This window comes from Homo sapiens, chromosome 16 (assembly GCF_000001405.40).
Source record: "Homo sapiens chromosome 16, GRCh38.p14 Primary Assembly".
Lineage (NCBI taxonomy): Eukaryota > Metazoa > Chordata > Mammalia > Primates > Hominidae > Homo > Homo sapiens.
The window spans coordinates 26,057,366-26,071,350 of NC_000016.10; the positions used below are offsets into that span (position 1 = coordinate 26,057,366).

Below are 13,985 nucleotides of genomic sequence, written 5' to 3' on the forward strand. Positions count from 1 at the left end.
ATGGTAGGATCATCCCCACCTACTGAAACTCAGGTGTGGCCATATGACCTGTTTTGACCAAAGGCATGTAGGAAGAAGTGATGTGTATCACTCTAAAAGCTGGTGCAGGCTGGGCGCGGTGGCTCACGCCTGTAATCTCAGCGCTGTGGGAGGCTGAGGTGGGCAGATCATGAGGTCAAGAGATCAAGACCATCCTGGCCAACATGGTGAAACTCCGTCTCTACTAAAAATACAAAAATTAGCTGAGTGTGGTGGTGCACACCTATAGTCCCAGCTACTCAGGCAGGAGAATTGCTTGAACCTGGGAGGCGGAGGTTGCAGTGAGCCAAGATCGCTCCACTGCACTCTAGCCTGGTGACAGAATGAGGCTCTGTCTCTAAAGATAAAGAAAGAAAGAAATAAGCTAGTGCATTTCTTGCCAAGCATTCCTTTTCGTTGCCTTTGTGGGGGTCGTGCAGGTAGAGCTGAGCCTTCATCTGTCTGTGTGAAGAAGAGAGATGCAGGTCTGGGCCAGGTAAAGCCTCCCTCTTACTGTGGAGTGTATTACGGGAGTTTCAGGAAACATCTCACTGGGGCCAGGGTTGAAGGCCACAGTCCTACTCAGAAAATGTGAGAGAGAATTAAAATCGAGTTTGATGGCAATCTGAGAAGTCCTCTCTGAGATTTAATCAGGTCCTGATGGAGGAGTCAGATTGAATGGTGCCAATTGGGAGGCAACACAAGTTGTTGCAAGGAAAACAGCCCCATTAAAGCTTTGCATTATACATGTTCTCCAAGCTATGTAACTGTGGCTGTGTGATTCCTAGCAAGTGACCAAACCTTTCTGAAATTTAATTTCCTCATCTGTTGGAGAAAGGGGCTGAGCCAGGGGCTGCACCACTGCCTGTTATTTGTGCAGTATCTGGGCATCAGCTCAGAACAACCCCTGGGGATTTTCCATTTGTCAAAAGAAGAAAAAGAAATCAGGTCCCAAAGTGATGGTAATATTTTTAGATTGCATTTCTTCCTGCAGGCTTTTTGGTTGACTTAAATGTGGGCTTTGGGGCAGGGCAGCAACACGAGTGAGCTAAAGAGGCCAGCAGGAGAGAGCTCCTTGGCTGAGAACACTGGGGGTGACATGGCTCACAGGCACAGCAGGAGGTGAACGGCTCTGTGGAGCCTGTGGCTAAAAGGTCTTAATGGATTGTGCTCTCTCCTGCCTCATGATTACAGGATTCTTTCCTGTCCATCATGTCTTGGCCAGTGCTAAAGAATTACTGAATTTCCGCTGCACCCTCTCACTCTCCAGGGCAGAGGCAAATCTACTTGGCTAGAAATTGGTTCTGTTGTATCCTTTGCCTCTACTTTGTTCCACAGGGAAGCAGATACTCTGGAATCTTGGCTTTGGAAGCGTCGTCAGAACACCTGACTCAGTCCCTTTCTGGTGCAGATGCGGAAACAGGCCCAGAGAGGGAAAGGGAATAGGTGAGGTCCTAGAAGTAGAACTGCTGAATTGGCTCCTGGTGTCCTGACGATCAGTTCAAATAAGTGAATGTCAAGGAAGGATGATTTTTCTGGCCCCATTCATTGTCCCAGTTCCAACCTGGGGGCTGGGAGGAAGGTGGGTTCTGGCTTTGAAGCCTTGGACTGAGGTGGGAGGCCTGAGGGTCACACCTTGCCAAGGGAAGTGGAAAGAATGTGATTCAAAAGATGAGTTCAAGTTGTGATCAAGCAGAGAAACCCAAAGAAGCGATCCTAAGCCTCAGGTTCAAAGAATGAGACAGAGACAGAACCTGGGACCTAGAAAAAGGCGATGGCAGAGTGGAGGCGAGGGAGAGGTCTTGTCAGAGTGGCAGGTTCAAGGGTTCAGGGTGGCAAATGAGGTGGGGCTGTATTTGGGCTGTTTTTTCCCTTCCTCCTTCCTTTCCCTCCACTTGTCCCCCTCTCTCTCTTCTTCCCTCCCCTCCTCTCTCCTTGCCTCTCTCTCTTTTTTTTGAATATTGATCACAGAGTGTGATATGTGATTTGCTTACAGAAATTCACCAAGCCAGAAAAGGCAAAACCATTTCCACAAAACATTATCTTTTATGCCTAAGAATGAAATAAAGTAGGGCGGAGAGGGTCCTTTAGCTACTTATACTGGAAAAATAGGCATCGTACAAAAACTTGGGTGAGAAAACCCAAATTAATTAACGAAGTCATTCATTAATGCATTGATTGAACGGCATGACTAATAGTTGCCAGGTTTCCATCTCCATCCTCCTCTGACCGTGTGAAGCAGGCAGAACACATAAACCCTCTTAGCCTGATCTGTGAAGATCATGATAACACCTCACTGGGATTTGATAGGATTAAATTGGTTACTCCAGGAAGGTGAACACATTTTAATATCTTTCAAACGCGCTAGTATTATTATTACTATTATTATTTTATTTTATTTTTATTTTTTTTGAGATGGAGTCTTGCTCCGTCGCCCAGGCTGGCATGCAGTGGCACAATCTTGGCTCGCTGCAACCTCCGCCTCCCTGGTTCAAGCAATTCTCTTGCCTCACCCTCCTGAGTAGCTGGGATTACAGGTGCCTGCCACCACGCCCAGCTAATTTTTTTGTATATTTAGTAGAGATGGGGTTTCACTGTGTTGGCCAGGCTGGTCTCAAACTCCTGACCTTGTGATCTGCCCGCCCCGGCCTCTCAACATGCTGGGATTACAGGCGTGAGCCACTGCGCCCAGCCTATTACTATTATTTTTACTTGTGATTGTTTTGATTGTTGTCAGAACCCTGAGTCCGTGCATTAGAGGTTTCCTTATGGCCAAATCAGAGAAACCCAGCCCTGCCCCGAAGAAAGACTGGATGACTGCTCAAGCTTCCTAAGACATGAGAGGACTCAGGAGACCCATGAAGCAGGTGCAGTCATTTGAGCTTGACCTATGTTGTCCTTTTATTGGAGTCTTTGGGGTGTCCACGGCTGGTAAGGTGGGAAGAACAGTAAGGATACATTAATTGAAAGCTTTCCCACCAGATTAACTTCAATTCTACACCAGCTCGTCTTACTCCCTTGCTCCAGGGACTTCCTGGTGGCCATTGAGTTGCTGAAGTACACTGCTGTCTGACTTCCTGCTTCCTGCTCTCCAACAGCTCAACATTTTACAGTCTTCAGATACTCGTCATCTTTTCACTGCCCTCTACTTGGTTTTCCATAGCAGACATTGGTCATCAATCTTTGCACTGACACTTAGCTGTGACAGGGACTGGGACTGTTTCTCAGCATAGTTCTGCAATCTCTCATTCAGGTGGGAGATAGCCAAGGTCATCTGAAATCTGGTATAAAAACTTTTATAATGATTGAGCACCTCATATGTGTTTGGTGTTCTCCCAGACACCATACTGAGGCATAAAGCAGCAGTTTCTATTTCTCTTTGGTCTAGAAATGCCCACAACAGCAGGAGAATTTCAAGTACCACCCTGCGATCGGTTGGCTGGGATTTTGTAATTAACTCATCAGTCATTAATTACTGATTGGCTGGGTATTCCAGTTCCTCTGGCTTCTCACTAACCAGAAGAATTCACTGTTATCCACATACTGAGGTTTTTCACTCTGCAGTGAGTCCTCAGTATTTTATAAAGATGTTTAGTAAGACAAATGCTGTCTTGATCTTTGAAGAATCTCACTTATTACATGTTCCCATCTTCTAAAGGGCTTGTTTATTTCTTCTCTATTACTGCTTTCTGAGCAAATTCATGGCAAAACGCACACACATCCCAACCCCATGGTGATGCAGTGTTTTGAACAGCATTTGATGTAGAAACTTGTCAAAGTTCTTCTTATCTTTCTTCTTATTTTTTTCTCAGTCTAATTAAATCATTTCCACAGACTAGTTTAGCCAGATGCCTCTTTGCCATCTCAAAAAGCACTAATAAATTAGTTGAGCATGACTGTGGAAAACACGTTGTCTTCCTTTAACAGGAGATTGCTCATTATACAGCATGTACTTGTTGCTGAACGGCGTGGTCCTGGCTTACAATGCAGTGTTAGTCATGGCAGAGAATAGCCAGGATTACCAACTTCCAAGTCTCCACATCTCTTCTTTCTTCAAACTCTCTTTGACCTCCACCACCATCTTGGCTACACATGAGCACCAGGAACAATTATGATCAGGAGGTGGGTAGATTTAAGAATCCTGGCCAGAAGCTGTGGAACTTGGCCTACTTTTGACTTTACTGTTTGTCCAGAATTAATGTAGGACTTTTGTTGGAAGTGACGCAAAATCTGACCAAACTAGTCTAAGTGGCTGGGAGTTTCTTAGCTCAGGAATAGGAAAAGGATAAGTTATTCTATCTCTAAGTGTAGCTTGACTTAGGGGCCCAAATAATGTCATCAGGCTTTGTTTCTCAGTTTCTCTTTCTTTATTCATCTCAGGGCTCAGATATCTGTGTCAACTTCATTCTCCAACCAAATATAATCTCGTGGTGGCAAGATGGAACCAGCAACTTTATCTTCAAATTCTCCCATTCAAGTTCCATAGGGAAAAGGGAAAAGAAGCTTGCTTTTTTCATTTTTGTTTTTATTTTCTCCTTCTGGCTCCTATAAAGGTCAAAATTCACCCTAGTTGGACTGATTTAGGTCACATGCTCATCCTGAAATGAATCATTCTGTGGCCAGGGTGATGAATATTCTGGATAGGCTACATCATGTGTTCTACCATCTGGAGTTGCTGATGGAGTTCTACCTGAAGTATGTGGGCTAAAAATGGACAAAAAGATTAATGAGCTTTGAGTGGGTAAAACAGCACATGCCCATTATTCAGCCATTAAATTTCTATCTCAGGGCTGCATTCCCCAAGTCCAAATTCAACCCAACTTCTTCCAACTCAGAGCATTTAGAGAAAGACACACTGGAGTCAGACAGAGCTGGTTCAACTGGTGGATCCAGTTCTAATGTGCTGTTTAATGTCCTCTGGGCCTTAGTCTTCTCATCTGTAAAATGGGGTAGTCATAACTTTGTCAACAGTGCTTGGCACTGTGATTGGGGCACATTAAGCTTTAATCAATGGGATTCTTGCCTGTTCTTCTCATCTAGATTTCTGCCATGATAACATATTGGGTGCTGTCAATCAAATGAGGACCGACTTTGCCTTATTCATCCATTTTTGATCCCAGGGATGAGACAGTTGTACCTGAACCTTGGCCCGATGCCTGCATCCTTGCCTACCTTCCTCTATTTCGGAATCATCTTCATTGCCATGCATCATGGACTATTGGTATAGTTTTTTTTTTTTTTTTAGTTTAGATATAATTCATTTATTATAAAAGGGAGGCACGAAAATTGTTTACATGATGAAAGATTTCAGAACTTCAGTGGAATGCACGAGCTCATGTTGATGCTATTTCAATAGTGATCTATTTTAGTCTACGTACTTCCCAAGAATGTCACCATCTCTAAATAAGAAATAATTCCTGTCACCTAGCACCACTTTGGTGCCTGCATATTCTGGGAGAAGAACTTTATCTCCAACTTTCACTACATATTCTGGCACCAAAGTTGGAGAAGAACTTTATCACCAACTTTCATGCTAACTGGTTGAATCTCTTCAACCTTCACTTTAGAGCCCAATCCAACAGCTACTACTGTTACTTGCAATATTTTTTCTTGAGATATTTCTGGAAGCATATGCCTTCTTTGGTTACAGTTTCAACTGCTTTCCTTTTAACCAATACTTGGCCAAAGAGCAGAATAAACTTTCTAAATGCTTGTCTGCCATGATTCCTGCCATCAAGGCTCATACATTGCTCTCATGCTGCTGATGCCAAGACACTCTGGTATCCTGTGCTGAGCTCATCCCATGAATCTCTCCATACTTCCCAGAATTTCTGGGAAAGTCTGACTTTCTCTTGTAACCCAGAGCTGGATCTAAGCATTTCTATCATCCCCAACATCTTCCTCCCCAACCCCTTCCATTGGTTGAATTATAGCCTCTGTCTGTACCCTGCTGTCCTATCCATTTTCAGCAAATGAGACCATGCTCAGCCTTGTCATGGATGTGTGATAAGGAGAAAATGAGTCTGGGCATGGTAGTTTACACCTGTAATCCCAGCACTTTGGGAGGCTGAGGTGTTTGAAGCCAGGAGTTTGAGACCAGCCTGGGCACATAGTGAGACCTTGTCTCTACTGAAAAAAAAAAAAAAGAAAAAAACCATTAAAAATTAGCTAGGTGTGGTGGTGCACACCTATAGTCCTAGCTACTTGGGAGGTTCAGTGGGAGGAGTGCTTGAGCCTAGGAGTTTGAGGCTGCAGTGAGCTATGATTGCACCACTGCACTCCAGCCTGGATGACAGAGGAAGACCCTGTCTCTTAAAAAAATAAAGAAAGAAAATGGGTAGGTGAGATGCTCACAGAACCATATTAAGCTGAGTTGGCAAGCATGTTAAAGGGCATCTGATACAACTTTTCTCTTGTGGGGAACATCCTAGCTGATTGCATGGGCCGGGGACACAGAATGTTGTTTGGATGCCAGTAATGAACCTCCAGATGCCACAAAGCCGTGGGTAACTAGTAAACTCCAGTAAATTAGGACATTCTTGTTGGTAATTAACATCCCCTACTCCCTCAGGGAAACAACTAAAACACTGTCAGGATCCACTTTCTGGAGGAAATGGCCTTAAATTAGATCTTAGGGAGTCGATTAGGTTTATGACTAAAATATATAAGAAGCTAGGTAGGTAACATAAACAAGAGAATGGGGCTAGTGTCCACGTATGTGCTGTCTGCATGTTGGGGGCTATGGTGAGCCAGACAGCACAGACCCTCTTTAAGAAACCAGCCATTGTTCATCTCTCTCCAATAGATGTCATACAGGAGGGAATGCCCAGTGTAGCCAAATCTTCCACCTTTGCAAGAGATGATGGAAATCTTTTAAACTAAACTCAGTTTTTAAATGTTAGTTACTTTTAATCCCTATCCAAAAAAAAAGTTTCCAATGCTGTCTTAATGTCCAAGGTGCTTAGGGTATAGAGGGTAGAAGGGAGGCTTGCTAGGTGTCGGGTAGACCATGAGCAAAGGCTCAGAGGGAAGACTGAGCATCGTGCAGAAGCCACAGTGAAGCACGCAGATGTCATGGAGGATTTAGGCACTGGTGGGAAAAACACAGGGTACATAGGACCAGATTAAGGAGAGACTTGAAGTCAGCCAGAGTAGTTCAGATAGATTTATGGTGTAGGCCAGGACTGGGAAGGCCTAGGAGCAGAGACAGCAGCTAGGATTGTAGTCTTTTTTTTTTTTTTTTTTTTTTTTGAGACAGAGTTTCACTCTTGTTGCCTGGGCTGAAGTGCAATGGCGTGATCTTGGCTCACCGCAACCTCTGCTTCCCAGGTTCAAGTGATTCTCCTGCCTCAGCCTCCCCAGTAGCTGGGATCACAGGCATGTGCCATCACACCGGGCTGATTTTGTATTTTTCTTGGAGACGAGGTTTCCCCATGTTGGTCAGGCTGGTCTCGAACTCCCAACCTCAGGTGATCCACCTGCTGCGGCCTCCCAAAGTGTTGGGATTACAGGCATGAGCCACCGTGCCCAGCAGGATTGTAGTCTTAATTATGTGGCTGTTCATACCATCACCACCAGTAAAGTTAATCTGAGGTTGAATTAAAATACATTCCAGATAGTATCTCATTGTGGCTTTGATTTACATTTCTTAATGATCAATGATGTTGAGCTTTTATTCATATGATTCCTCAAAGACCTAAAGACAGAAAAACCATTTGACCCAACAATCCCATTACTGGGTATATACCCAAAGGAATATAAAACATACTATTATAAAGACACATGCATGCATATATTCATTGCAGCACTATTCACAATAGCAAAGCCATGGAGTCAACCTGAATGCCCATCAATGATAGACTGCATAAAGAAAATGTGGTACATATACACCATGGAATACTATGCAGCCATAGAAAAGAATGAGGTCATGTCCTTTGCAGGGACATGGATGGAGCTGTAGGCCATTATCACTAGCAAACTAACACAGGACAGAAAACCAAATACCATATGTTCTCACTCATAAGTGGGAGCTAAATGATGAAAACACATGGACACGCAGAGGGGAATGACACACACTGGGGCCTTTCAGAGGCTGGAGGGTGGGAGGAGGGAGAAGATAAGGAAAAATAGCTAATGGGTAGTGGGCTTAATACATGGGTGATGAAATAATCTGTACAACAGACCTGCATAACACATGTTTACCTTTGTAACAAATCTGCACTTGTACCCCTGAACTCAAAATAAAAGCGAAAAAAAAAGATAAAAATAAAATATGGTCCAGTAAGTTTGGACAGTCAGCATAGACTACACCACAAAGTAAGAGATAAAGAGGGAGAGGAGGCAAAATGATGTGCATGAATTTCAACATTTATTGAGAGTTCTTAGTTTCTAAGCTCTGTACACCAGCCTAGTCACAGGAGATTGAATATAAGTAAGAAGTGAATCACACCTTAGACTACTGACAATCTAGATGGAGAAATTCAGATAGAGGAAAATTAGAGATCAAGTTCCAAAACCTTGCACTGGCTTCTTAGTTGTGATAGAAAAGAGCAAAACAGGACAACAAAATAATTGTCTACATCACGTATACGTTAATAAGACACATGTCTGCCCATTTTTATGGCATTATGTTACTCAAAAGAGGTGGACATGAGATCCATACAGCTGCCCGTTGTATGATATGCCATATCTTTACAATCTTGTAGAGAAGAGTGGTCTTCACTATGAATCCTAAAATGCAAGGCACGAGTAAGACCACTCAATAGGAGACTTGCTTTGTAAGTGATTTGCTTACGACATGAACACCTGTATGTGGGGTAAAAGCAGAGATGGTTAAGAGTTTTACAAACAGTACAAGGGGTATGAGCTAATTATTAGATAAAGGAAGTCCTACATGTCTATCATATAAAACTTATTTTTCTTGGCCGAAAGTTTTTAAAAAGGAATTTGTAAAGAGGTGGGAGGAACGGTATTCTCTCGCAAGAGAGATGGAACATTTTAATGATGTTATTGAGAGCAAGACTATTATCACTGCATCATTTTGTACTATCTGATATTTGAGGAAATGAAATATTCTACATAAGAAATGAACAAAGGCGAAAAGTTTTAATCTGTTCCCCGTTCAGTCCCTTCCTTCTTCTTTCCTTCTCTCCCTCTCTTCTTTTCTTCCTCTTTCCATCTACTCATTCTCTGAGCATCTGCAAGAAACCTGGGTGATTTCCAACACACACCTGTCACTTAGGTAAATGAGACTCACCACCAGCAGCTGCAGTGTTGAGACACTTGAAAGGTTAATTACAGAAAGACAGTGTGCAGAAGAGCAGGTAGAATAAAGTGCTGAATTTCTCCTGCCTAATTGTCACCACAGAATTCCACACGATTTCTTGCATCTCACTTTAGAATGAGAGCCTCACTCTACATTCTTTCTATGACCAAAGGAAGGAGATCCCTTTGCAGTATGCAATGCTCAGGACATCTGTTCTGTGGACATTAGTTCTATATATGGAATGAATTCCTGTGGGGTTGTGTAGGCATCAGCAAATTTTATGTAGTAAATAATCATTGGCAGGGTCTGTGCTGTGGAACAGGACTGCAGATACAGATAAAGTCATATGAGGACTCCCAGGAGCTAGATCAGGTAGGAAAGTCCTTGTAAGTGCATGGGAATTTGACAGGTAGAGGGGATTAAGCACCATTTTTTAGGCTGCACTGGTTGCCCAGAGGGGTGGTTTGTCCCTCATCATCTCTACTTAACAACACTTCCACACCTCCTCCAAACAAATTGCAATTGAAATAAAAATAAAATATCTAAACGTGCTTCCTGTGCAAATATTATTTTCAGACAAAGTCTCCCGCTCTTAGTCCAACAAAATAGCTGCTTCCAACCACTTCCTAGAGAGAAGTTCTGAATCAGCATTGATTCTCTGTCCCTCCTCATTTTGAATGCATAATCTGAGCGCTAAAATAATAGCGTCATCCATTGCTCCCCTTCTCTGCTAGGTCATGTCCCAAGGGAGACATGACCAAATTAGTGAAAACAATTTGGTGTCAAAGATATTTGGGTGTAACTTTTCTCTGCCACTAATTGAGTTTGTGACCCTAAGTATAGCATTCCCACCACCCCCCACCCCAGCCACCCCTGTGCCACCTCACTGATTCTGTTTTCTCTTTTGTAACTTGGGAAAATGAAATTGTCCTCCCAGGGTTGATGTTAAATAAAGTCAAGAAAAATTGCTGATGGCACTAACTAATAATTAGGGAAGTTCAGCTTTCTTTACATCTCCAGAAAAGACAACATCCCTGATATGGTTTGGCTGTGTCCCTACCCAAATCTGGAACTGTAGCTCCCATAATTCCCAGGTGTCATGGGGAGGAGCTGGTGGGAGGTAATTGAATCATGAGAGCGGGTTTTTCCCATGCTGTTCTCATGGTAGTGAATAAGTTTCACAAAATCTGTTGGTTTTATAAAGGGCAGTTCCCCTACACATGGTGTCTCTTGCTTGCCTGCCACCATGCAAGACGTGACTTTGCTCCTCCTTTGCCTTCCACCATGATTGTGAGGCCGTCCCAGCCGTGTGGAACTGTGAGTCACAATTGAAGCTCTGTCCTTTGTGAATTACCCAGTCTTGGTTATGTCTTTATTAACAGCATTAGAACAGACTAGTGCAATCCTGGAATAGACATAGACTGTGCTTCACTTTCAAATATTCAAACTCTGTACAACTTGAATGCACATACTTTGCATATCTACCTCTATAACCCTTCAACATGTATGCCAAAGGTGTATTTTCCTCCTCCTCTTAATTCACATTTACTGAGCACTTACTGGGGATAGACATTATTCTAATCAGTCCACACAGATTAACCCAATCCCCTGAGGAAGACATTGCCACATTCTGTGACCCTAATATGCTATCAGTTGTAGGACACAAAATTATTTTATATTTGACTGTGACATGGCATCAATGATGTGGTACCCCAAATGTCAGCTATATTAAAAAGTTTAACGTAGATCTTAGGATCAATAAAATAGAGTAATATTCTAGCCTCATTTTACAGGTGAGGGTTCTGAGCACCATAGACATCAAGGGTCTTCCCCAAATTTACATAACCAGTCAGAGTGTGAAAGAAAATTTGAACCTAAGCCATCTGACTTTGAAGTCCACACTTTTAATCACCTCCCTAAACTTCCCCTCTCCATTCAGTAGGTGAATGAACATTTCAGGTAATTTCATCTCCGACCTCAATTATATGCCCTTTGGGGCTCAAGTGGTCGTTTGACTTTTCTGTTTTAAAGGAAGGGGATGAAATTAAAGAACAAGTACAAAATCCTGAAAATACATCCTTGGAAACTGTATCTAACATACGAGATGTATTTTGGCCTTTTTTGATATTGTTTTGCTCTCTGGAAGCCAAATGCCTTTTAATATGTAGGTGAATTGTTTGATTTTTGCATGTCCAACTTATGTGTATGATTTCAAGGATGTTTTATATGTAAATGTTGGCATCTTGATACACTGTTTGCAAAAATGACCCCAATTCTCCACTTCTGCCAATATCTATATTATTTATTTATGTATTGTGTTTGAGACGGGGTGTTGCTCTGTCGCCCAGGCTGGAGTGCAGTGACTCAGTCACAACTCACTGCAGCCTCAACCTCCTGGGTTCAAGTGATCCTTCTGCTTCAGCCTCCAGGATAGCTGGGACTACAGGCACATGCCACAATGCCCAGCTAATTTTTGCATTTTTTGTAGAGACAGAGTTTCGCCATGTTGCCCAGACTGGTCTCAAACTCCTGGGCTCAAGTGATACAACTGCCTCAGCCTCCCAAAGTGCTGAAATTATAGGCATGAGCCACTGCACCCAGCCCACATTCCTTAAAATGGGATGTTGCAGCCTCTTCCAACAAGAAATGGTATCTATTTCTACACCTTGTAAATCTGGGCTGGCTATGTGCCTTGCTTTAGTGAACAGAAGGTGGTGGAAGTGATCACTTACCAGTTCTGAACCCAGGCACCAAGGGGTCTTCTGAGATTAGGCTTTCTTTTGGAACCTTGCTCCTCCATAAAAGCACATCCAGGGTAACCTGATGGAGGATGAAAGACTACATGGAACAAAGTCAAGTAATCGCGGTTGATGCCTTCTTTTTTTTATAGTAAATTCTTTTATATATATATATTTTTTTTTATTATACTTTAAGTTCTAGGGTACATGTGCACAACGTGCAGGTTTGTTACATATGTATACATGTGCCATGTTGCTATGCTGCACCCATTAACTTGTCATCTACATTAGGTATATCTCCTAATGCTATCCCTCCCCCCTCCCCCCACCCCACAACAGGCCCTGGTGTGTGATGTTCCCCTTCTTGTGTCCAAGTGTTCTCATTATTCAATTCCCACCTATGAGTGAGAACATGCAGTGTTTGGTTTTTTGTCCTTGCCATAGTTTGCTGACAATGATGGTTTCCAGCTTCATCCATGTCCCTACAAAGGACATGAACTCATCATTTTTTATGGCTGCATAGTACTCCATGGTGCATATGTGCCACATTTTCTTAATCCAGGCTATCATTGTTGGACATTTGGGTTTGTTCCAAGTCTTTGCTATTGCGAATAGTGCCATAATAAACATACGTGTGCATATGTCTTTACAGCAGCATGATTTATATTCCTTTGGGTATATACCCAGTAATGGGATGGCTGGGTCAAATGGTATTTCTAGTTCTAGATCCCTGAGGAATTGCCACACTGTCTTCCACAATGGTTGAACTAGTTTACAGTCCCACCAACAGTGTAAAAGTGTTCCTATTTCTCCACATCCTCTCCAGCACCTGTTGTTTCCTGACTTTTTAATGATCGCCATTCTAACTGGTGTGAGATGATATGTCATTGTGGTTTTGATTTGCATTTCTCTGATGGCCAGTGATGATGAGCATTTTTTCATGTGTCTGTTGGGGGCATAAATGTCTTCTTTTGAGAAGTGTCTGTTCATATCCTTCATAGTGGCCAGCTCCCAGCTGCAGACGTCAGAACAAGCCTAGCTGAAATCCTGGGAGCATAGCCCAGATAATATAACCTGCACTTGGCACAGTTCAGCAAAACTTCCCAGCCAACCCACAGACTCATAAGATAAATAAATGGCTATTGTTTACAGTCACTAAGTTTTCAGACTGTATGTTATACAGCGTCTTAGAGATTTGGCAACCAAGCAAAATGATGGAACATCTCTTGGGTAATGTAAAAATTTCCTGGATGATCGTTCACCCTAGAAGGATGCTTTACATGTACTTTTGCATTGAAAACTTCCCTATTGAAACAACTCCATTTTCTGTATATCCAGTTGCTATAGCAACCTGATACTTTTGTTCTCTGCTCTGGTCTTCCTGATCATATCACTTTGCAGTTAGTCAACACGTTGTTGGAACCTTGGTTGTTATGGTAACCTGGGACCATTTTTTAAAAAAGGCATTCCATTGACATTGTTTTTGAGGAGACCTGCGATTTAGTCTCCTACTCATCTGGAGAAACTTGTGGTACAGAGCAGAAAGCATTTCAGGAAATGCTCCTCTGGGGAGACATTCTTCATTAAAGCCTCCTTCCAGAAACCTCAGACATTCTGTGCTTTTATGAATTTTTCCTATTTAAATGCCTCTCAGAATTTTGGTGAATTGCAAAGTGTGTTTTAAAAAGTCCTAAAAGAGGCTGAATTGCTAATAGAAAACATGTGTAGCTGAATTGTCATTAATTATGCATGAAGCCCTATAGGCGTCCCTACACGAGCTCCACAAACCCTGGAGATGCAATTCTTTGTGATGCGAGGAGGGAGCACATAAAACAGAACCCACTATGAAAACATCCTTGAGAGGAGGTGAGGGGTGAGGGAGAAAGGGGTCAGGTTTGGAGGATGATGGGGAAGCGGCTGTAGAAATTAGGAGTCCGTGGGTGCGGGGTTGTGGTGAAAAGTGC

General features: G+C 42.8%; 1 protein-coding gene and 1 pseudogene across 1 annotated transcript in view; one reads left to right on the plus strand and one right to left on the minus strand.

Annotated features, from left to right (window-relative positions):
* Positions 1-13,985, plus strand: part of HS3ST4 (heparan sulfate-glucosamine 3-sulfotransferase 4) — a 445,727-nt gene that overhangs the window by 365,407 nt on the left and 66,335 nt on the right. The gene's annotated exons all lie outside the window — the stretch shown is intronic.
* Positions 5,265-5,700, minus strand: HSPE1P16 (heat shock protein family E (Hsp10) member 1 pseudogene 16; annotated as a pseudogene).